Genomic DNA, 25,084 nt, shown 5'->3' with positions numbered 1-25,084 from the left:
TTTTCAGTCTATTTTAACTGTATCATTGAGGTTCAATGAATAACCATTCCGGTTTGCTTGGGTCTCTTCCACTTTAGGGACTGAATGTCCCACATGCCAGAGAAACCATCAGTCCCAGACAAAGGATAAGGTTTCACTATGAGTTTCACTATGTTGAAGTTTCTGAGGTCTAGTTTCAGAGAAAACCGACTTGGAGGCAAAGATTTGCATGCAGGGAATTTATTCCCGAGTTGTTTGGGAAAGAACACCAGTGAAGAAAGGAAGGCAGCAGAATTAGGCAAGGGCAAGCTGAACTATGATGCCATTACAATAAAGACTACAGCTGGTTCTAGAACTGGGAGGACCCATCAGAGCTGCCCCAAACTGAGACATGATGACTGGGTATCTGTACTCCCACATAGACTACGTTTTGGATTTTAATTTGAACCCAGACAGGGAGCATACACTTGGGCCCAGTCAAGGTTAATTCCTGGTAAGGAACTCAGTCATGAGTCATCAGCCGTCCACACTCTGATTCTCAGCAGGTGGGGGAATGAGTAGTTTGGCCATCAATGGAGGAATCGGTCCATACACTACAGCATCCACTAGAGAAAACAATTCTGCAACTAATCCCCCGGAGACATCCCTTCAGCTCTGCATGGATTCTTGTTTGCAGCTTGGCTCTCTGTGAGGGCTTATAAACTTTTCAGTAAGTCAGTTTCTTTTCCTTTATTTCTTCCAGTTTATTTTGGAGGTTATAACTCAACTGCTTATGCAGACTTTAATAAATGCATTTCCAGCTCTTCACAAGAGAAGCCCATATTAAATATTAGATGGATGAACTGTTCACCTCTTTACTTAGACTGGGTAAGTGAAGCTGTCTCTTTATTCCTCTGCCCTTTTCCCTATGTCTCTCCCACTAGGGAAACTTTTGCCAACATCAAAGTGTAGCCTAACTGTGGAAAGCTGACTTAGCCATAAGGATTTCTCATTCCTGTGATACATGTGATCTTTTCCTTTTACTGTCACTTAATTCTGCTCCCTGGACTTGCCTCTAAGGTGTCAAGAGAGAAGCAACTCTCTGCACTTCAAGGACGATGTTTCTTTCTTCTCAAATTATCACTTAACAGACGGGATGATTCTTCTCAGACCTTTTCAAATTTCCCAATGGGCTTCCAAATACAGGGCAAAGCACAGGCGATGTCTAGCAGGTTCCTGGCACTCCTATGTGCATATTACTAGAAGGAAAATGCAAACAATTATTGCTAATTAAAGATATCTGAGAAATGAGTTAAGATACATTATCACTGATATTACTATAGGTTCATAACCCTTTTGTTTTTAAAGCCATTTTATTGAATATTTATTAAAAGCTTCAACATTGGAGTCAAACAGTGCGGCTTCCAATTTTACCTCCTCCAACCCTTGCCTGTGTTATTCTGAGCAGGTTGGTTAAACACAGTGAGCCTCTGATACACCATTTGTCAAAGGGGGGTTATAATAAGCAGCACTGTTGTTAGCGTTCTGCCCAATCCTCTCTTCTGTAACAGCAAACCCCTCCCCCTACTGCGGGTTCTGACTTGTCCTTGTACACACATGCATGGTTCACCAAAGAATTTACCTTGGCTGATGAGGTCCCCCTGAAGTGCCTGGGAGGTTATGTACCCTCAACTCAGGCCAGCAATTGACTCCGAGATGAGCACGTGTCCTAATTCTGACCAAAGAATTTGGAAAATGAAAAGTGTTCTACTAAGAAAAGGGAATTTTTTTCTCATTAAGAAGAGACAATATTTTCCACCCTCTCTATGTTGCTGTGTTTCCATGTATTTCATGAAACAACTGCAGTTATCCATAAATCATATTGAACAACACAAAGTTGTCAGAGCTCACACAAAGCAAAACAAAACAAAACTAAACTAAGATTCTTGATGATACATATGATTGCCCAAATTACACATTCTGGTGTCTTCTCTACCTCTGGACTTGCTATTACGTTAGTTACACATGTCATCATTATTTATTGAGTTGATTCAAGGTTTTTCTTGCAGTCAAAAGCAAACTAACATATATACTGTGTGTGTGTATGTGTAGGGAGGTGGAGAGGAGAGAAGAAGGAAAAAAAAGAAGAAGGAGGAGAGGAGGTTCAGCAGGAGGAGGAGGAGGAGGATGAGGAGGAGCAGCAGGAGGAGGAGGGAATGGGAGAAATGAAAGGAGTGAGAATATGTGTCCTGGTGTCCAACTTGATTCCCTAGGTCTGGTCCCTGCACATATTTTCCCAATATATCACCCAGCTTTCACTTCTACTTGGACTTGATTGAATTGTTAAAGGGAACCTGAAAGATAAATATTGATTAATTCATCTTCAAAGTTCTTGGAACAGTTACAGTGCAATAAACACTCAATGGCTATTAGCTATTTATAGCATTCCCAATTATCAAGATAATCATTATGTTCTTTTATCTTATCACTCCTTATGAAGCTGAAGTAGTGGTTCCTAAAACTAGTTTCACATTAATGTCAGCTATAAAGCTTTTAAAAATTAATGCAGTCCAAATTTTCCACTTTTAATATAATGGGGTAACTGATTCAGGTCTTTAATTGAAACAAGGAAACTAGACAAAATTCATGAAACAAATTTTGTCAGACATTGTAGAACAGACAGCATAGGATTATTATACCTGAGAGACAGGAAATAAATGAAGTGAACCTTACAGTTTCCCCAGCTTTCAGCCTGGAAAACTTTTTAGATCCAGTACAGGGAGGAGGAACCCCAGCATCGCTAGGCAATATTCTTGGGATTTGGAGGCAAATATCAGATTTAAGGTAGGCTAAGGCAGATTTTTAATGCAGAATACTGGAAAGGATAGAGTTATGCAGAAAGAGAGCTACAGAAATTTGCAAAATGTTTTATGAATATGTTATTCAATACAAAGGTGCATATGTGTAGGGGATAATTTTGTAAACCCAGGCAAAGGTACGCTATCAGAAAGCTAAAATATAAACAATTCCCAGAGCTCACATAAGGCTGTGAGTCTTTTTACTTCTGACTAGTCAGAGTAGAGTTGGCTCCTTGTACATCTAGGGTATCCAGTAGGCACCAGATGAGTCACACCTTAGTAGCAGGGCAAAACTGTCTCCAGAATAAGAAATATGGTAGACAAACACTAACAATATTTAAACACAAGCAAACCTAGGAAGTCTCAAACTGCTCCAAAAAACAATATTCAACGTGTTTAAAGGAAGACAACACAATCCAGACCCTCATCAATGTGAGTCACTATGCCCAATGCCCACTAAAAAATTATTAGGCAGGTAATTCCAGGTAGCTGTTATGACTGTTTGTGTTTCCCCCAAATTTATATGTTGGACTCTAATCCCCAATGGGATGGCATCCAGAGTTGGAGCCTTTGGAATGTAATTAGGTCATGAGGGTGGAGCCCTCATGGATGGGATTAATGCCCCTATAAGAAGATATCAGAGAACTACTTGCTTGCCCTCTTTGTGCCGTGTAAAGATACAAGAAGTCGGCTGTCTGCAACTGGAAGAGAACCTTCACCAGCATGAATGATGCGGACATCCTGAGCTGAGGCTTCCAGCCTCCAAAACTGTGAGAAATAAGTGGTTTTTGCCTAAGCTAGCCAGCCTATGGTAATTTGTTATGGCAGCTGAAACTGACTAAGATATTGCCAAGGCAATATCAGGCTTGTAAATTTAATGTACCCAACCAGGGCAGTAACAGAAGCAGTAAAGAACTACAAGAATAAATAAAACTACAGAAATCCAAGCTGCCCACATAACATTAAGAGAGTGAACAGCTAAAATGTAATTGCCTGTAGGTAGAACAATAATGCCCAATTCTTGCCAGCTTTCTCTGTTTCTGGCCAGAAGAATTTGAAAACGCAAGTAAAGTTTGAAAAAAAAAAAAACTGTTGAAGAGAAAAGCGAAGAGGTATCTTTGGGTCTTTAATTTTTTCCTAAAGCCATATTATATAGAGAAAGTCTACCTTCTGTGTGAAAATGATGAAAAAGCATATAAGTAGATCAAAGCACTGAATATAGGAAAAAGGCTAAAAAGGGCTTTGTGGGCAGAAATGGGTGAAAAGAAAAGGAGAGTCACCCTTTGAAAACTGCATAGGAAAGAAAGAAAAGCAAGAAGAGAAAGTTCAGGATGTTGCAAGATAAAATAGAGTAAAAGGTATCAAAGAAAACACAACCTCTCCCCCAGCCCCTCCCTCTCCTCCCAAACTGGAAGGAAACGTACTTTGCTACTCTGACGATAGAGGGCACTCTTGAACTAGGAATCTTACAAACCATTCCAAAACTGTCTGACCATAGAAACGCAGAGTGAACAGTGTCTACTGGAGGGGGTTCGTCAGGGTCTCTCTCTCTCTCTCTCTCTCTCTCTCTCTCTCTCTCTCTCTCTCTCTCTCTCATATATATATATATACTGAATATATATATATATACTGAATATATATATATACTGAATATATATATACTGAATATATATATACTGAATATATATATATACACTGAATGTGTGTATACATATATATATATACTGAATACATATATATATACTGAATTTATACAGAGAGACAGTCTATATATTTAAATACCTGAAATATAACATTCAAACCTGAAATAAATATATTCAAGTAAGTATTGGGAGATGTGAGAAGATAATTTGAGGTGTGTGTGTGTGTGTGTGTTTGAGACAGGGTCTCACTCTGCCACCCATGCTAGAATGCAGTGGCAGGATCACAGCTCACTGCAGCCTCGAACTCCCCGGGCTCAGGCGATCCTCCCACCTCAGCCTCTCGAGTAGCTGGGACCATAGGCGCCCGTCATCATGCTTGGCTATTTTTCTTCTTATTATTATTTGTAGAAACAGGGTCCCACTATGTTGCTCAGGTTGCTCTCAAACTCTTAGTCCCAAGCAATCCTCCTGCCTTGGCCTCCCATAGTGCTGGGGTTACAGGTGTGAGCCACCAAGCATGGACTGAGAAGACAATTTGCATCAGAACTTCAAAAAGCAAAAATAGAAATGGACAAAAAAAGGAAGAAATAAAATATAAATTGATTGATTCCTGGAAGAAAACAGAAAAAAAAAGACAAAGTCATATTAGAAATTACAACTAACTTATGCAGTACTTAAGGTAAAAAGAAATTTGAATGAAAACATTAAAAAGGCACTGAAGTAGACAGGAAAACAATGCATTGAAAATGTGGTAAGTAAATTAAAATGATGTAAGAAAAAATGTTTGAAATTGAAGACAAAGAAAAAATAACATCTGTATATTTAGAGTCCCTGAGGAAGCTAAGATAAAAAACAAAACGATTAAAATGATTATACAAGACCACTTTCCAGAAATAAAAGAAAATTTGTATCAACATATTTATAGGGTCTGTGGGGTGCCTGTAAAAATTGACCTGCAATGATAAACTCTATGATATATACAAGTAAAGATCATAGTCTGTAGAGATTTTTAGACCATCCTTAGGACCTTCAGCAGAAAGATAAAATATTTCACAAGGGAAAAAGAGTGATTGGCCTTAGACCAAAATACAAAACGAGGCAAAGAGGAGAAGCATTTTCAATCAATGCTGGGAAAGAAAGCCTGAAATAAAGCTGGCATTACATTTTTTTTTCCTTCAGTTTGTTATCAACAGAACTGTCCATCAAGTATCAAGGCTATTTACAAAAATGTTAGACAAAAGAACTCGAAGAATTCTGAAACCGTGAGCCCTCCTTGAAAAGTCTACTAGAACACAAACTGTATCCAACCAAAAGATGCCTGGGGAAACTGAGCAAAGGATTAATAAAGAGCAAAGTTTATTAATATACAAATTGATATTCACATTTGATCTTAGTTATTGCATTTGTAAGAGATTAAGGTGGGCAGGGAGTAAAAGAATAATATGCTATATGATATATAGTTTATCCATTTTATATTCTGACCAAGTAGAAATCATGCCACTGAAAAATGGAAAGAGAAAAGTAAAGAAGAATGGAAAGTAGACTAAATGATTTGGCTATTTTATAAGAAATAAATGTGAGTTAAAGGATGTCACAGATAAATGACAAACCAAATGGAAATATTTTGAACATGAAAATAGGGGATAAAGGGCATTTTAAAAAGTATAAGATATTCAATAAAGCAAAACCACAAAGCTTCCTAAATACTATAATAAATTAAAAATTTTAAAATTAAAGAAAATATATTGTATAGAGAAAAAACATAAACTATTTGTCTAAGTATTAATTATAAACTAAGATAATATGGCAGAGTTGAGGCCAAACACATTAATCTTTTCAATAAATGCTAATGGGTTTAACTCACCAATTTATTTTATTTATTTATTTTTTAATTTTTATTTTTAGTTTAATTCCGGTATACATGTGCAAGATGTGCATGTTTATTACATAGGTAAATGTGTGCTGTGGTGGTTTTTTGCACAGATCAACACATCACCTAGGTATTAAGCCCAGAATGCACTACCTATTTTTTCCTAATGTTCTCCCTCCCCACACCCCAACCCCTGTCAGGTTACAGTGTGTGTTGTTCCCCTCCCTGTGTCCGTATGTTCTCATTGTTCAGTTCCTGCTTATAAGTGAGAACATGCGGTGTTTGGTTTTCTGTTTCTGCATTAGTTTGCTGAGGATAATGGCTTCCAGCTCCATCCATGTCCCTGCAAAGGACATGATCTCATTCCTTTTTATGTCTGCATAGTATTCCATGGTATATACATACTACATTAAGTCTCGCTCTGTCGCCCAGGCCGGACTGCGGACTGCAGTGGCGCAATCTCGGCTCACTGCAAGCTCCGCTTCCCGGGTTCACGCCATTCTCCTGCCTCAGCCTCCCAAGTAGCTGGGACTTCAGGCGCCCGCCACCGCGCCCGGCTAATTTTCTGTATTTTTAGTAGAGACGGGGTTTCACCTTGTTAGCCAGGATGGTCTCGATCTCCTGACCTCATGATCCACCCGCCTTGGCCTCCCAAAGTGCTGGGATTACAGGCGTGAGCCACCGCGCCCAGCCTACATTTTCTTTATCCAGTCTATCATTGATGGGCATTTGGGTTGATTCCATGTCTTTGCTGTTGTGAATATTAACTCACCTATTTACAAAAGAAAAGATTTTGCCTGACATGGTAGCTCATGCCTATAATTCCAGCACTTTGGAAGGCCAAGGCAGGAGCATTGCTTGAGCTCAAGACTTTGAGACCAGCCTGGGCAACAAAGGGAGACCCCGTCTCAAAACAAAACAAAATGAAAGATCAAAAAAGTATCCAGGCATGGTGGTGCACACCTGTAGTCCCAGCTACTTGGGAGATAGATGGGGAAGGATTACTTGAGTCCAGGAGTTTGAGGCTGCAGTGAGTAGTGATCACAACACTATCCTTCAGCCTTGGTGACAGAGTGAGACTCTCTGTCTCAAAAAAGAAAAAAAAGAAGAAAGAAAGAAAGAAAGAAAAGAGAGAGAGAGAAAGAAAGAAGAGAGAAAGAGAGAAACTATAATCTGATTTACAAAGACTCAGCTATATGCTGTTTATAAAAGGCACACAAAAGAAACTGAATACTTGCATTGAAAAAGACTAAAGAGTAAGTGTTAAGATATATTAGAAAAAAAATTTAAAAAGCAATAAGAAAGCAGGGGTAATGACAGTGATAATAAAAGTAGAATACATACCTAATCACATTATACATTCAAAGAAAAGCATATTTAATGAAAATATGACAATTCATAATGAATAAGAATAAACATCTATGCACCACATAACATAGCAACCACCTATATAAATAAAAAACAAGAGACTCACAGAATCATAGATGTTAAAACTTTAGTAATAGGAGACTTAAATTGCTATCAGTATAAGACATTGAGTAAACAAAAATATATAAATAAAACAAGAATTTGGATGACCTATTCAACACAATCTATATATATATTGTTCTATATGCCCTGCTAATAAAGAATACACCTTTTTCTCAAGCACACAAACATTTAAGATAATTTAAATATAACAAAAAAAAAGTATTAAATCTCCCCACCCAAATCTCATCTCGAATTGTAGTTCTTATAATTTCCACATGTCCTGGGAGGGACCTTGTGGGAGGTAATTGAATCATGGGGGCAGGTTATTCCTGTGCTGTTCTCCTGATAGTGAATAAGTCTCATGGGATATGATGGTTTTATAAAGGGCAGTTCCCCTGCACACTCTCTTGCCTGCCACCATGTAAGACATGCCTTTTCTCCTCCTTCACCTTCTGCCATGATTGTGTGGCCTCCTAAGCCATGTGCAACTGTTAGTCTATTAAATCTCTTTTTCTTTATAAATTACCCTGTCTCAGGTATTTCTTCACAACAGTATGAAAGTGGACTAATACAATTACAAATGTCACTCTGATCATAATTTACCAAAACTAGAAATGTTTGAAAGTAAAAACCCTAGAAATCAATTACTGGCTTTCCTAGAGGTCCTATGAACTGTTTGACATTGTACCGACTACTCTTTACAGTCTCTACCTAGAATTTGATCTACTCTGGCTTAAATTCAGCCCCAAATTTTTGGTCAGGTACTCAGTTAAGAGAAAGCCCCAATTCTACTTGTTTTTCTTCACAAGTTTGCTGGTCATGATTCCACCTCTTTCAGTTGATTCCCTTATATTCCTAACATGCATAGCAAATAGCAGCCCAATCATTGTTTTTCCAATCCTACCCTGAGATCCAAACTCCTAATGCTAAAATGCATAATGAGTGAAATCACAGAATTTGTAATTTGTGAAACACCACGAAATTACACACCATTAGGAAGGAAAACTCTACAGCTCAGCTCACTCTATGGCGTTGGAGCAAAAAAAAAGAGAAGGCAGATTTTTCTGGAATCTAGGAGTTCACTCCAAAGTGTGCTTCCACTGATGACAAGAAATAGACATTACTACCCATGTTTGAATAGTTTAGATAGTCTCACCTTCCTTCCAACTAGAAACTTTTCCAGATAAATATGTAGCACATTAAATACCCAAATATCATGTGACATCAAATAACTGGAAAAGGCATTGATCTATCCATTCCATCATTTAGAAAAGTCTATTTAAACACCAGCTACATGTGAGGTGCTCTGCTAGGTTGTATCTCCAAAGATACATAAGACACATTCCTTGCCTTCCAGTAACTTATCCTCTACTGAGAGAGATAAATGCATGAGCAACAAATTTCAGTAAAGTATAATGAATATTATTACGGACATGTGGGCACACACAAAAAAAACTACATTTGAGATTGAGAAGGATCAAAGTTGGAGAAAACTTTGGGTGTGACTTGGGCAGATTAAAACATAGTTTACTCAAATATACACATGGTAAAAGGTATTCGTATCTGTTAGCTATTTCTGCAACAATGCTGCATGGTATACAGTCATAACATCCCAATGGCATACAAGAATAAGCATTGATTATTTCCCTTGTATGTAGTTAAGCTGAGCCAACTCTCATGATCTCTGCTGGACCCATCTAACCATTTTCAGGTTGTTTTGGGGTAGTCTGATCCTGGCTGAGCCTAGATGGTTGGCTCTGCTTCAAGCTACAGGGAAAGCTGGGCTTTCCTCATTACTGTTGCGCTATGTTTAAACCTAATCCATACGTTTACTCTGGAACCCATGCAGAAGGGCAGCAGCTGCACAAAGGAAGTGCTTCTCTTAACAGCAATAAAAAGGCAAAAGAATGAGCAGGGTACCATGGTATCTCTTAAGGTCCGAGCCCAGAAATGTCATAGTGCCAACTGCACCCATATTTTATTGTCCAGAGTCACTTGGACAATCCAATACCCATAGGATCATATGTTAAATTCATCCTATTCTGTTGGATGTTATTAAAAGTCCATGGCAAAAAGAGAGAAGGGAAGAAATGAAGAATTGGGAATAAATGATTCAACCTACAATTATATTTGCAGCCAAAGTAATAGCATGAGTGAGCCATAGTTATTAAAAATATATAATATATATCCTTTTCAATGTTTTACATAATATATAAAAATATATTAATTTTTATACAAAAATTGCATATGAAAGTAAAATTTCATATATATGAAGTTTTAGGGAACTGAGAATAGTTCCCTTAGGTTGGACCAGGACCAGGGGACACTGGCAAAAGATACAGATAGAATCTGAGCTCTTTTTTCCCAAAAATAAACATTTAATTTCCTTTTGATTTAATGTCTGTTTAATAGTCAAACTTTTTAAAAAGTTTATTGTCTGTCATCTCTTACCCACAATTACAAATAGGTCTTATTCATCAATTTAGTGTGCAAGAAGCAGAGAGTATATTGTAAGTTTGCAGGTGATGGTAAGTCCTTACCACATCCTAGTTAGCATTGAAATTATTATTATTGAAAAAATGCGCATATCGATTTGTACCACGTGAGATGCCATGGGGAAGACATGAACCTAAATTGGAAACAAAATGAAACAGAATATTTATACTTTAGAAAACTAACAATTTCCAGGATAGCAAACACTGCACGCTGTTTCATGAAATGAAAAATTCTGACATCTTTACCTTTCATCAGTCAGTTAAAAATGACACACGATGAATGTTAAAATGTTTAAAACCAATATAAATATCCTGTTTCATTCCTTTTCCTATTTGCACCAATATCTCTCCCTCTGTGTCTCTCAAAATGCCAATTCAAGTGTACCAACCCATGGAGAAAATTTTATTAACAGTACTGTGAACATGAAGGAAAAAAATAGTAACTATTTGAATCTGTGGTTTGAAGAATAAACATGATCTTGCAAGAGTTTCTTTTTAATTGTATCTACATCAAAATATTTGTTTTCAAAGCAAAGTAATACTAACAATAGAATCATGCACTGCTATAGTTCCAGAGGCTCTTGGTTCAGAAAAATAATTTAAAATCCTTATATTTGGAGGCCTTGAAATATGTTATATTTGGAGGCTGCTATCACGTTCCTTAGTCGTATGATTATATGACTTATATATAAAGTCTTCATTTCATTGAGCAGTGGTTTGTAGTTCTCCTTGAAGAGGTCCTTCATATCCCTTGTAAGTTGGATTCCTAGGTATTTTATTCTCTTTATAGCACTTGTGAATAGGAGTTCACTCGTGATTTGGCTCTCTGTTTGTCTGTTACTGGAGTATAGGAATGCTTGTGATTTTTGCACATTGATTTTGTATCCGGAGACTTTGCTGAAGTTGCTTATCAGCTTAAGGAGATTTTGGGCTGAGATGATGGGGTTTTCTAAATACACAATCATGTCATCTGCAAACAGAGACAATTTGACTTCCTCTTTTCCTAATTGATTACCCTTTATTTCTTTCTCTTGCCTGATTGCCTTGACCAGAACTTCCAATACTATGTTGAATAGGAGTGGTGAGAGAGGGCATCCCTGTCCTGTGCCAGTTTTCAAAAGGAATGCTTCCAGTTTTTGCCCATTTAGTATGATATTGGCTTGGGTTTGTCATAAATAGCTCTTATTATTTTGAGATACATTCCATCAATACCTAGTTTATTGAGTTTGTATCATGAAGGGCTGTTGAATTTTGTCGAAGGCCTTTTCTGCATCTATTGAGATAATCATGTGGTTTTTGTCATTGGTTCTTTTTATGTGATGGATTACGTTTATTGATTTGCATATGTTGAACCAGGCTTGCATCCCAGGGATGAAGCCGGCTTGATCGTGGTGGACAAGCTTTTTGATGCACTGCTGTATTCGGTTTGCCAGTATTTTATTGAAGTGATTCCTCAAGGATATAGAACTAGAAATACCATTTGACCTAGCAATCCCATTACTGGGTATATACCCAAAGGATTATAAATCATGCTACTATAAAGACACGTGCACACATATGCTTATTGCGGCGCTGTTCACAATAGCAAAGACTTGGAATCAACCCAAATGCCCAGCAATGATAGACTGGATAAAGAAAATGTGGCATATATACATTATGGAATACTAATCAGCCATAAAAAATGATGAGTTCATGTCTTTGCAGGGACATGAATGAAGCTGGAAGCCATCAATCTCAGCAAACTAACACAAGGACAGAAAGCCAAACACCGCATGTTCTCACTCATAAGTGGGAGTTGAACAATGAGAACACATGGACACAGGGAGAGGAACATCACACATCGGTGCCTGTCTGAGGATGGGGGGCGGGGGGAGGGATAGCATTAGGCTATATACCTAATGTAGATGACGGGTTGAGGGGTGCAGCAAACCACCATGGCACATGTATACCTATGTAACAAACCTGCACGTTCTGCACATGTACTCCAGAACTTAAAGTATGATAAAAATAAATACATTAATTAATTAATAATAAAGTCTTGAGAAAAATTAGCTAGGGGAGAGTCCATTGTAGTGATGAAGAGCTAGGCTTCTGGTGTCTTTCATTATCAAAGCCAGCAGCAGCAGGTCAACTTTTTCTCATGCCTTGAATTTCTCTTTCCTCCTTTTTCTTCATCTCTTCTGCCTTCCTCTTCTGTTTTTAAGGGTTTATATAATTACATTGGACCAACCTAGATTATCCAAAAGAATTTCTCTATTTTGAAGCCAGCTAATTAGTAATCTTATTTTCATCTACAAGAATAATCTTAATTCCATGTACTAAATTCCTTCATAGCAATAGCTAGATTAATGTATAAGAAGGTACTTTTTCAGGGCCAGGTGCTGTGGCTCCTAGAACTTTGGGAGACTGAGGGGAGAGGATCACTTGAGCCCAGGAGTTCAAGGCTGCAGTGAGCTATGATTGTGCCACTGCACTCCAGTCTGAGTGACAGTGAGATCCTGTCTCGAAAGAAAGAAAGAAAGAAAGAAAGAAAGAAAGAAAGAAAGAAAGAAAGAAAGAAAGAAAGAAAGAAAGAAAATGTATTTTTTAGAGAGAAGAAAAGGGTATTTAGATTCTGCCTATCACATTGCCTCATAGGGCTTTGGGGTTATTAAATGAGATAATACAGTCACGTGTTGCTTAACGATGGGAATACATTCTGAGAAATGTGTCGTTAGGTGATTTCATTGTTGTGCAAATATTATAGAATGTGTTTACACAAACAAATCTAGATGATAGCATAGCCTGCTAAGTACCCAGGCTTAGGGTATAGCTGATTGATCCTAGGCTACAAACCTGTACAAGATGTTACTGTACTGAATACAGTAGCAAATTGTATCACAATGGTATTTGTGTATCTAAACATATATGAACATAGAAAAGGTACAGTAAAAATTTTGTATTATAATCTTATGGGATCACTGTCTTATATGCTGTCTGTCATTAATAAAAACGTCATTATGTGGCACATGACTATACTGACAAAACACTTTGTATAGTGGCTGACACATCATAAAATCTCTAGTAAATGAGCTAATAATAACTGATTAATCAATAGAAAGTCTGATGTTTGGGAATATTTGCCTTGCCCTCCAAGGACTGGAAAACAATGATTCAATTTTTTTTTTTTTTGAGACAGAGTCTTGCTCTGTCGCCCAGGCTGGAGTGCAATGGTGCCATCTTGGCTCACTGCAACCTCCACCTCATGAGTTCAAGTGATTCTCCTCCCTCAGCCTCCCGAGTAGCTGGGATTACAGGCATGCTCCACCACACCTGGCTAATTTTGTATTTTTAGTGCAGACAGGGTTTCGCCATGTTGGTCAGGCTGGACTCGAACTCCTGACCTCCTGATCCACCTGCCTTGGCCTCCCAAAGTTCTGGAATTACAGGCATGAGCCACCACGCCAGGCCACAGTGACTCAATTTTTGAGGGCATATGTACAGACCAAAATCATTGGGATGATTAGAGTTGTCAATCCATGTCAAATATTGAGTAAAGCTCTTATTTTAGACATCTAAACTCAGATATGTCATTTTGAAGTTCTTAAAAAAAAAAAAAGTTCTTCAATACATAAGGAAGGCTGCAGACTTAGGCTTTTTCACTTATTTGCCATATGACCCCAGGTGATTCACTGAACTCATCTTAGCCCTAGGAGTTTTCAACTATGAAACAAGGATAGCAATACTTACCATCACTTAAACAAACAAAAAAATTAGGCAAGAGAAATTAATAAGGGACATCCAAATTTGAAACAAAAACATCAAATTAGCTTTGTTCATAGATATAATCTTATTCTTAGAGAAACCTAACAGCTCTACCAAAAAACTGTTAGAATTGATAAACAAGTTCAGTAAAGTTGCAAGACACATAATCAACATACAAAAATCAGTAGTATGCATAAGCCCTAACAACAAACAATCTGAAAAAGAAGTCAAGAAAGCAATCCCATTTACAATAGCTACAAAAAATATAAAATGCCTGGGAATCAATCTAACCAAAGAGGTGAAAGCTCTATACATGGAAGACTATAAAACTCTGATGAAACAAGTAGGACACACACAAAAAAACAGAATGATATTTCATGTTCATGGATTGAAAGAATCAGTACTGTTAATATGACAATACTACCCAAAGCAATTTATAGATTTAATGCAATCCCTAGTAAAATACCAATGATATTCTTCACAAATTTTTTTTGAAATCTTAAAATCGAAATGGAACTACAAAAGACCCTGAAGAGAAAAAGCCATACTGAGCAAAAAGAACCAAGCTGGAAGCATCACACTGCTACCTAATTTCAAAAGTTATTACAGAGCTGTAGTAATCAAAACGGCATGGTACTGGCATAAAAAAAAAAAAAAACAAACAGACACATGGACCAATGAAACAGAATAGAGAACCCAGATATAAACCTGTGCATTTACCAGTGACTCATCTCCAACAAGAACTTGCACCAATAACTTACAATGAAAAAAAAGTAGTTTTTCAATAAATGGTGCTAGGAAAACTGGATAACTATATGCAAAAGAATAAAAATAGACCTCTACCTCTCACCATACACAAACATCAAATGAAAGTAAAGACTTGAATCCAAGACCGAAAGCTGTGAAGTTACTAGAAGAAAAATTTGAGAAATGCTCTGTGACATTAATCTAAGCCAAGATATTTTGTGTAAGACCTCAAAAGCATGGGCAACCAAAGCAAAAATAGGCAATAGGGATTATGTCAAGCTAAAAGGATTCTGAATAGCAAAAAAACAATCAACAAAATGTAGAGACAACACACAGAATGAGAGAAAATATTTGCAAACTATCCCTCTGACAATGAATTAATGACCAGAATATATAAGAAGCTCAAACAACTCAATAACAAAAAGCAAATAATTCTATTTAGAAATGGGCAAAAGATCTGAGCAGACATTTCCCAAAATAAGACATACAAATGGCCTACATTTATATGAAAATACATTCAATATCTCTAATCATCAGAGAATGCAAATCAATACCACAATGCAATATTATCTCACCCCGGTTGAAACAGCTTGCATAAAAAGACAAGCAATAACAGGTGCTGGCAAGAATTAGAGAATGGGGAACCCTCGTACGCTGTTGGTGGAAATGTAAATCAGTACAGCCACTATAGAGAACAGTTTGGAGGTTCCTCAAAAATCTAAAAATGGAACTTCTGTGTGATCCAGTAATTCCATTACTGGGCATACATCCAAAAAAAAAAAAAGGAAATCAATATAAAAAAGAGATATTTGCACTCCCATGTTTATTGCAACACTATTCACAGTAGTCAAAATATGGAATCAACATCAGTGCCCATCAATAGATTAATGCATAAAGAAAATGTGGTACATATACTTCATGGAATATTAGTCAGTAATAAAAAGAATGAAATCCTGTCATTTGTAGCAACATGGATGGAACTAGAAGTCATTATGTTAAATGAAATAAGCCAAGCACAGAAAGAAAAATATTTCATATTTTCACCCATATGAAGAAGTTAAAAGGTGGATCTCATGAAGATAGAAAGTAGATTTGTGGTTACTACAGGCTGGGAAAGAGAGAGGGTAGGAGGTGTGATGAAGGGTGAAAATATATATGTAAAAATATTTAAACTGTACACTTAAAAATGGAAAAGATTATAAATTTATATATACATAATTTTATATGTACATAATTATATATAGTTATACATAAATATAATATATATTTTAAACTCAATATGTTATTTTAAAAGGATAAGGAAAGTACTATGATGTCTTCTAAATAATAAGTGCCCAGTAAATATAGGTTTCTGCCTCCTTCTCATTTCAAACACAGATTTTGGAATCAAGCCAAAGAAAGTGTTACTTTTTGCTCAGTTTTTATAACGGGCCTTCATTTTCCTAGTCTGTAAAATGGTGATAGTTAGTCTTACCTCAAAGGAATATTGGTAAATTAGAGGCCGGGTACGGGGCTCATGCCTGTAATGCCAGCACTTTGGGAGGCCGAGGCCAGTGGATCACCTGACGGCAGGAGTTCGAGACCGGCCTGGATTATGGTGAAACACCGTCTCTACTAAAAATACAAAAATCAGCAGGTATGGTGGTGGACGCCTGTAACTCCAGATACTCTGGAGGCTGAGGCAGGAGAATTGCTTGAACCCGGGAGGCAGATGTTGCAGTGAGCCGAGATCTCGCCACTGCACTCCAGCCTGGGTGACAAGAGCTAAACTCTGTTTCAAAATAAACAAACAAACAAAAAATCAGAAAGTCCGTGACTAGATGCTTACTGACTTGACCTTTCGAAAGCACGCAAAATGTTAAAGCATATCCAAATCTTTTGATTGACACATTTTCATCTTTCAGGCCATCTGTTAAGTAATATTTGTGTTCTAATTACTGTAACAAGAATGATTAAAATACAATCATGTTTGGAAAAAGTGCAGCTAGCTAAATACAGTCCCAATATCTGAGGCATTACTGCAAGGAATTCACCTCCTGTGGTTTTGTGAGAATGTGATCACCCTTAAGTATTTCAGTGTGACATCTGAAAGGCTGTGGTTTACCCTACTATTTATTAATATGTGTTGTCTATATTTTAAAATGAATATTCTATATCTGTGTTCTCTATGATCACTAATAGTGTGGTAGCCAAGGTCATGGAAGATTAGCTGAGATTTAATGTAATTTGATATTTGACAATGATAATGAGTGCACTGTATTAGAATTTGCTTGTTAAACAGGCATAGTTTTTCATCTAGAAATGTAATTCATGAAATAATTACAATGCTGAACCCTAAAACTAGCACAATGAAAGTAAAAAAAAACTGGTAAACTTGTTAGGTCTGTGGAAATATTTTACAATTTGGGAGACATGTTGACTACGGTACTTCAATGAACCTAACCATCAGTGTCAGTGTCTGTGGTTTGTGTGTGTGTATAACTATGTGTAATTCACACACACACACATATATATATATAAAATTAGTAAAGGTATATAAGTTATCCATATAGAGAGAACCATATATACATAAAAGCATTAAATTAGTAATTATATATATAAAATGATATAGTAAACCTAAGTTGTATGTATGTAGGAAATATATAAAATATGAAAATATATACAATTAGTTATGGTATAAATAACATTTATTATATGTGAGTATGCCTAATAAAGGATTTTTATTATGATTATCAAATATCATAGATCAATATGATAAATATTGGTAATTGATATAAGATAATGACTTGTTCACGAGTTATTTCTTTTATAAAACCGCAAGTTCCTTGAGGAAAGAAACTATAGGGAAATTCTCTATGTGTATATCTATATATTTTTTCTTATTTTATTTTAGGCGAATGATATCAAACATCTATAAATGTTTAATATGTATAGATGTTCAACAAAATAAACTGTGTTCAGATAGACAATAAACCATCCTGTGGAGAGAGAAGACAAAAGAAAACATGAAAACACATATAGGTTCCTAATATATGCTACAGAGTATAGTAGGTGCTTTCAGATGAAATTACATGAATCTCCTCATTTAATATTCCTGCCCAAACTCTGCTGTAAATACCATTTATTTATACCAATAATTGTAATTACCAATTATTAATAAAATCATTTATATTGTTATATTAATAATTTTCATACTAAGCTTATTGGATCAAAGAAAATGAACATTTTTAGTAACTTCCATATATAAAACACCAAAGAAGTGCTTCTAATGTGAATTACGTTACCAAGTGTTCTTCATTTCAAAGTTTTATTTCCTGCGAAATCCCTGTTAGGTAATATTGATTTACTTCTAGATAGCATGAGGTCTTTTACAAAGCATTTGATTTGAAGAAAAAAAGTTAGTTACTCTAGTCATTCTCCTTTTATCAGGAGATGTTGTCAAGGTAACAACATCTTTTATTGTACTTGGAGGTACCTGTGTGTAATGGTTAGGATAGTATACTTTACCTGAATTAGCAGGCAATAAACTATCTTCGGCCTGGGCCTTCCAACCAACGGTGTCCCCTGTTTAATCTAACAACCTGCTGTGTAGAAACTGTTTCTAGAGGTAATTCCACTTAAATGGGCATCCAAGAAATGTCTTTTTGAAGTACAACACTGTTGTTATTCCCTAAAATGCCACTTTCTAAAATTTCTTTTCACAAGGGATGTTAATGTTGTCAATAAATGAGAATGTCATAAGCAAAAGAAAACTATTCTAAAGAAATTTATTCAGACATTTGAAAAGCATTGTGCCCTAGGTGCTGAGACAAGAGGTACAGAAATGAGGAAATAAATAAAATGTGGTTCCTTCACTAAAGGAACTTGTAGTCTTATGAAAAAAATAGCAGTAAACAAGTCATTATGTTACAATATACTACTTACCAACATCGATCCCAGTAATCTATCCAGTTTAGTGATCATTACTAAAAACAGCAACCAGATGCTACGGCTCGCATCTGTAATCCCAAAACTTTGGGAGACCAAGGCAGTAGTATCACTTAAGGTCAGGAGTTGACTAGCCTGGGCAACATAGCAAGACTCCATCTCTACAAAAAAATAAATAAATAAATAAAAATTAGCTGAGCATAGTGGTATACACCTATAGTCCCAGCTACTTGAGGGCTGAGGTGGCAGGATCACTTGAGCCCAGGAGGTTGAAGATGCAGTGAGCCATGATCCTGCTGCTTCAGTCCAGCCTGGTCAACACGGTGAGACCTCATCTCTAGCCGAAAAAAAAGAGAGCCATCTCTATTAAGCACATCATCTGTGCCACATGCTGAACTTAATATTTACAAACATAATCTCATCTGATGCTCACAACAACTTAATGTGGTAGATGTACTATGATCATCCCATTTTCCTGAGTGCTAACTAAGGTTAGACTGACATGATGTGGATAGAAGGTGGCCCAGTCAGGAGCTGAGCCTATCTGTCTACGGAGTCAGAATGTGTCGTCACTGTGCTGTGTAGCTCAAAAGAGGGTGAGTTTCTTTCTTTTTGGGGGAGGGGGTAAGGAAGGAGTGGTGTCAGAGGATGACATTCAAGAATTCACAAAAGAGACAAGGCACAGTGGCTTATGCCTGTAATCCCAATGCTTTGAGAGGCCAAGGCAGGAGGATTGCTTGAGGCCAGGAGATCAAGACAAGCCTGGGTAACATAGTGACATAGTGACACCCTATCTCTGTCATATCTTTTGCAGGGATATGGATAGAGCTGGAGGTTGTTATCCTCAGCAAACTAATGCAGGAACAGAAAAGCAAACACTGCATGTTCTCACTTATAAGTGGGAGCTGAACAATGAAAACACGTGGACATATCAGGGGGAATAACACATACTGGGCCTGTTGGGAAGTGTAGGGGGAGGGAGAGCATCTGGGAGAGTAGCTAATGGATGTTAGGCTTGATACATAGGTGATGTGTTGATCTGTGCAACAAACCACCATGACACACGTTTACCTTTGTAACAAAACTGCACATCCTGCACATGTACCCCAGAACTTAAAATGAAAGTTGAAGAATAAAATAAAAATACGGCCTGGCATGGTGGCTCACTCCTGTAATCCCAGCACTTTGGGAGACCGAGGTGGGCAGATCACCTGAGGTCGGGAGTTCAAGACCAGCCTGACCAATATGCAGAAATCCCATCTCTGCTAAAAATAGAAAATTAGTCAGGCGTAGTGGTGCATGCCTGTAATCCCAGCTACTCGGGAGGCTGAGGCAGGAGAATTGCTTGAACCCAGGAAGTGGAGGTTGCAGTGAGCCAAGATCACACCCATGGCACTCCAGCCTGGGCAATAAGAGCAGACTCCATCTCAAAAATAAATAAATAAATAAATAAAATAAAAATTAAAAAATGATTGTATGTTTTTCAGTTCAACTGATGAACATGGGGAATTTCAGGAGGAGGATAAAGCACATGCAAAGATGGAAAAGCCTGGGAAATCATGGCAGAAAGAAGATATACAATCCAGTATGGCTGGGAAGAGACTGAAAAAGGAGCAAATGACCTTATATGATTCTGGAAAGGTAGTCAGGCATCACAGCTAAGGATTTTAGATTATAAATCATCTTGGAGTACCATGGAAGAGATTCAAGCCAAAGAGTTGCATGGCTGATTTGGAATCCAGAAAGATTGATCTTCAGAATGATGGAGGGATCAGAGGGAAAATGACCATCTTCCCAAAAAGAAAAATGAAAATGTCCAGGAGAAAATGATGAACTAAGGTAGAGGCAATAGAATGGAAAGATCAGGCAAGATTAAGGAATAACTGGTCAAATGTGGGCCAATGAAAAAGAGAAGGGTTGATGAAACTTTACACTTCTAATTTAGGTGATTAGGTGAGAGAGGGGCTTGAGTGTTGGTGCAAGGTAGTGGGAGGGTGGAATTAGAATGATGAGTACACTTTACTTATGTCTGACCCTTAGTTATATCAAAATATGGAGTTATCTCACTAGAATAAAAAATGAAGTCTTTTAATCCATTTTATTTTCAAATGAACAGTGAGTTGATGCCTCACTGTTCTTTTGAAAGCATTATAGTTTAGCAAACCCACACATTTTTGAACTATAACCCATAAGGTACAGTTTATCCACATCCTGCCTTCTATTCAGTAGTTTGAGGGGACCCAAATAAATCTATAAAATTGCCAAAACAATAAATATCCCGGGAGCACATTGTTCCTTCTCTTAGCACCTTGACCTTATTGGTGAATGACTTGCCTTCCTCACCACGGCTTCTGTATGAGTGCGCTTTCACACTCCTATAAAGAACTGCCTGAGATTGGGTAATTTACACTGGAAAGAGGTTTAATTGACTCACAGTTCCACATGATTGGGAAGGCCTCAGGAAACTTACGATTATGGCCTAAGGCAAAAGAGAAGCAAGTACCTTCTTCGCAAGGTGGCAGGAGAAAGAGAGTGAAGGGTGAACTGCCAAACACTTCTAAACCATAAAATCTTGTGAGAACTCACTCGCCATCACAAGAATAGCATGGGGGAAACTGCCCCCGTGATCTGGTCATCTCCCACCAGGTCCCTCCCTTGACACGTGGGGATTACAATTCAAGATGAGATTTGGGTGAGGACGCAAGAGACAAACCATATAAGCCTGCTTTATTGAGGAATCTCTGTTTTCATCCCTGATATCCTGTTAGCTACTGCCGTTTTGTTCCTGGCTCTATTTGTGTTAATTTGCCTGATGGTCATCTCCCTGCCACCAAAATCTTGTACAACAACTTTCTGAGTTTATTAAGCATAGTCTTCATAGTGGCAGATACTATATTTATTGAGTGTCATATTAGCTATTTAAAATACATTTTACTTGTTCTTTACTCAGAGAAACCTCGTGGAGAAGATTGTAAGTAGAAAATACAGACTTTATTTGAGATTGAAGAAAAAATCAAATATATGAGCTATTGAGAATCCATTCTAAGCCAGGTACTGTGCTTCCAAGACATCAATTATTCTTCCAGCTAACAATATGAGGTTGATATTACCATCCACAGTTTTTGAAGCAGGTTATCATGTATAAGAAGGTTAAATATCTGCTCAACATGCCACAACTAACTGCTATTTAATTCAGTTTTGCAAGGAGAAAAAATATCGCTGCATCCAGTTGCTTCCCATTGGGAAGATGCTGAAGAATCACTAAAAGTTTTTGCTGTCAGCTTTCAGTTATTCCACAACCTCCGAGAAGTGTTAGATCTCACCAGAAAAAGGAATTGCTAAAATGAAGTAGTCACTTTAGGACAAATATTTGTTGTTCCAAGTTGTTTTTACTAATATACTCTAAAGGGATCATTTTCTCTTGGTGGGGGAAATATGATGGATGTATTCACATTGTCCATTGTCCTGGCTCCTTGGTGAAAGCCTCAATATTTGCAGATGATATTTAAAGATGACTTATAAGTGCTTCCAATATCTCCCTTTGCCATGTCAAGGAAGAATGATCCTCCCATCATATATTAACTACCTTTTATTTTGTGATGGTATAGAATTCAGATATTGATGTATACACGTGGGCAAGTTGAAATAAACATAGCCTCTAAAGTAATCCACATAAAACGTCTTGAGCCAAACAGGGAAGGAAGAGAGTCAAGAACTCTGTGAGTTGGGTTTAGTAACATTTTAGATGTCTAGAGTAAGGAAAAAGAAACATTTCAGTGTGGGAAGTATTGTGGGAAGAGGGGAAAAATCTGAATAACGTTTTAGAATCAGAGATTACCCTATATTGTTTAATTTTCCTTTAAACATTTTAATGATAGACAAATATTTCTTTTATTGGCACCTTGTAGAAAGGTGTCCACATAGTTGGTGGATTGTATTAACTAGATTCACATGATAGAATAAAGAAGTAAAAAAAATCCACCTTAGATCTATCAGCAAAAGCTTGAATTTTAATTTAAATTCTACCGTGTTTTCTTTATGTGATGATAGAAAAGATATGTGAACCTCAGGGCCTTAATTTTAACATAAAAAAGAAAAGGTAGAAGATGAAGAATACTATCTTTTTTCTATATCCCAAAGACTAGCAACGTAAAAAAATCTGGCAAGGAGAAGCCATGATGATGATGATTAATTCAGCAAAGGAATGCAGAAAGTTGCCCTCTTTGTAAACAATACTTGTCTAAAAATTCACCCAAAATTCAAAAATGCAAATTGTACATATTAGACTTACAAATTATTATGGTAATTCTATTTCCAGAGAGCTAAAACATAATATACTATAGCTGATTTTACTTTTTATTTTAAACACAATTTCCAGTAACAGGATACTAACTTTTAAATTTTTCATTCCTTTAATTTTGTTCCTTTGCTTCACAATCAAACATGTTGATGGCTGGCACAGGTTCAGCAAGTGTCCAACTAACCCTCAACATGCGCTGCTTTTGATATGCATTTTAAGGATTTCTATCATGTTTTTAATGCCATTGCACTTTTATAACAATCTCCTTATCACTGTTATAGGTACTTCTCCCTGTTGTACACTGTTTTTATAAAGCCATGCAGGAAAGAGCAATAAAAAATTCAAGTCATTGCACAAATTGGCAATGCTTTTGTAGACACTGCCAGCAGGTAGAGACAGTATGTGAGAAAATGAAATGTGAGCTAATCGGCTGATGAGCAAAAGCCACAGTCTGGCATAAGAAGGGGAGTTCAGGGTGCCAACACATAATACATAAAAACGCAAATGTTTCAAAAGTGAAATTGATAAAAATTAAAGATGAGACTCTACGTGTGTACACAGAGAAAACAAAGCATCAGAAGAGATGAGAACTAGTCATGGCAAGCTTACTAGGAGCAGAGGCAAGTCGGCTTAAGCAAACTTTCCAGAACAAAGAGGCAACACCAAAGAATTGCAGGGGTTTAGGAGCATAGAGTTAGGAGTGATTTCAGTGTGAGGGAAATTATTCAGAGGGAGATGCTGCAAAGGTTTTGATGTACATTTCAAGAAGTGTTGATATGCAGCTGGCTAAAATTTCATTTGAAAGAAATAAGGGTATATATGGGAACAGGAGAAATTGAGGTGTGGCTTATAGAAGATCAAGACAGAAAGATAGCTTGGGGCCAGACAAGAAGAATTTCTGTGCCCCTTGGGACAGTCTTGCTTCCTTTTTCATTCAATTCTTTATAATCCATAAGTTTCTTATAAATGGAAACTTGGAATTACTTTTCAATACATGAATACTCTGGTATCTCCGGAATCAAAAAGCAATATGAGTTGATTCTATGGTAAAACCAATAAAAAATACCCTTTATTCAAGCAGATTTTGGGTAGTACACTCATATAGTTACAGAATACCTACAGGCTCTCACCTTCAAATGTCAAACTCTCACTCTCCCCCCAACCAACCCCTATCAATTCTGGCTAAAGTTTTGATAATTGGTTCAATTACCATCACAGAAGCACTACTTTTCTCTTTCCAGAAGTAATGCTGGGATAGTGAAATTTCAAGTCTCATGTTGCCTGTAAGAAAATGAGTGATACAGCCTGTTCCAACCAATGTTTTTTAAAAAAATCATGAAAGTATCAGTGTCTTATTGTTACAGAGGGAATTTAAAAAAAAAAAAGAGGTGCAAAAATGAAAATTCTTCTTTCCACACTCAATTTTGAAACAACTGCATATTGACACAGTGGGAAATGTAATAAAATATTATATAAACTGTTTTGAGCCTTATGTGATTAAATTTTCAAGAGACTGTCAACTGGCCACATTTAGATTATTGTCTATGAACTCCTTATTGTATTTTTTCCAGATTAGAAGTTTGTTTTCTCTTTGTTTGAATTTTCTTTTTAATTTTTGAGTGGTATACCTGAAAGAAAAAGCACTGGGAAGAAAATTAATAAAACTCAGTTGTAGTTTTGAAGTATTTAATTCTGGGATTTTAGGCAAAACATTCAATCTCTTTGGGCATCAGTTTCCTAATCTGTAACAACAACAACAACAGCAACAAAAACTGGAACACAATAGTTGTAATTTTAGGGTAGGATGTAACCTTATCTGCATTTATTTAGTTAAATATTGAAATAAAAATGTATTTGTTCCTCTACTAGTTATATCCACATGTCATGAAATTCTCACAGATAGAGCTACCCAATGAACTGTGGAATTTCAGTCTCCTCAAGACAAAAATCTTAGACATAATGGTGCTCTCTTCTGTTTTTCCTACCTCAACCCAAAAGCTTAGGGCCTCTGTCCAATCATCTTGAGTCAACATTGCTTATGTGCATCCATTAACTGAACTCATTTCCATCTG

The 25,084-nt window shown here is 36.9% G+C and overlaps 1 long non-coding RNA gene across 1 annotated transcript; it reads right to left on the bottom strand.

Annotated features, from left to right (window-relative positions):
* Positions 1-203: 203 nt before the first annotated feature.
* On the bottom strand, positions 204-18,873 carry LOC124903778 (uncharacterized). The gene is made up of 2 exons (XR_007065218.1): positions 18,710-18,873; positions 204-1,217 (listed from the first exon to the last, which is right to left on the bottom strand). It is a non-coding gene; the product is annotated as an uncharacterized LOC124903778 (long non-coding RNA).
* Between the last annotated feature and the right edge of the window lie 6,211 nt (positions 18,874-25,084).

Source organism: Homo sapiens, chromosome 16 (assembly GCF_000001405.40).
Source record: "Homo sapiens chromosome 16, GRCh38.p14 Primary Assembly".
Classification (NCBI taxonomy): domain Eukaryota; kingdom Metazoa; phylum Chordata; class Mammalia; order Primates; family Hominidae; genus Homo; species Homo sapiens.
Note: the sequence above shows the minus strand (reverse complement) of the source record. Positions and strands in the feature narration are given on the sequence as shown.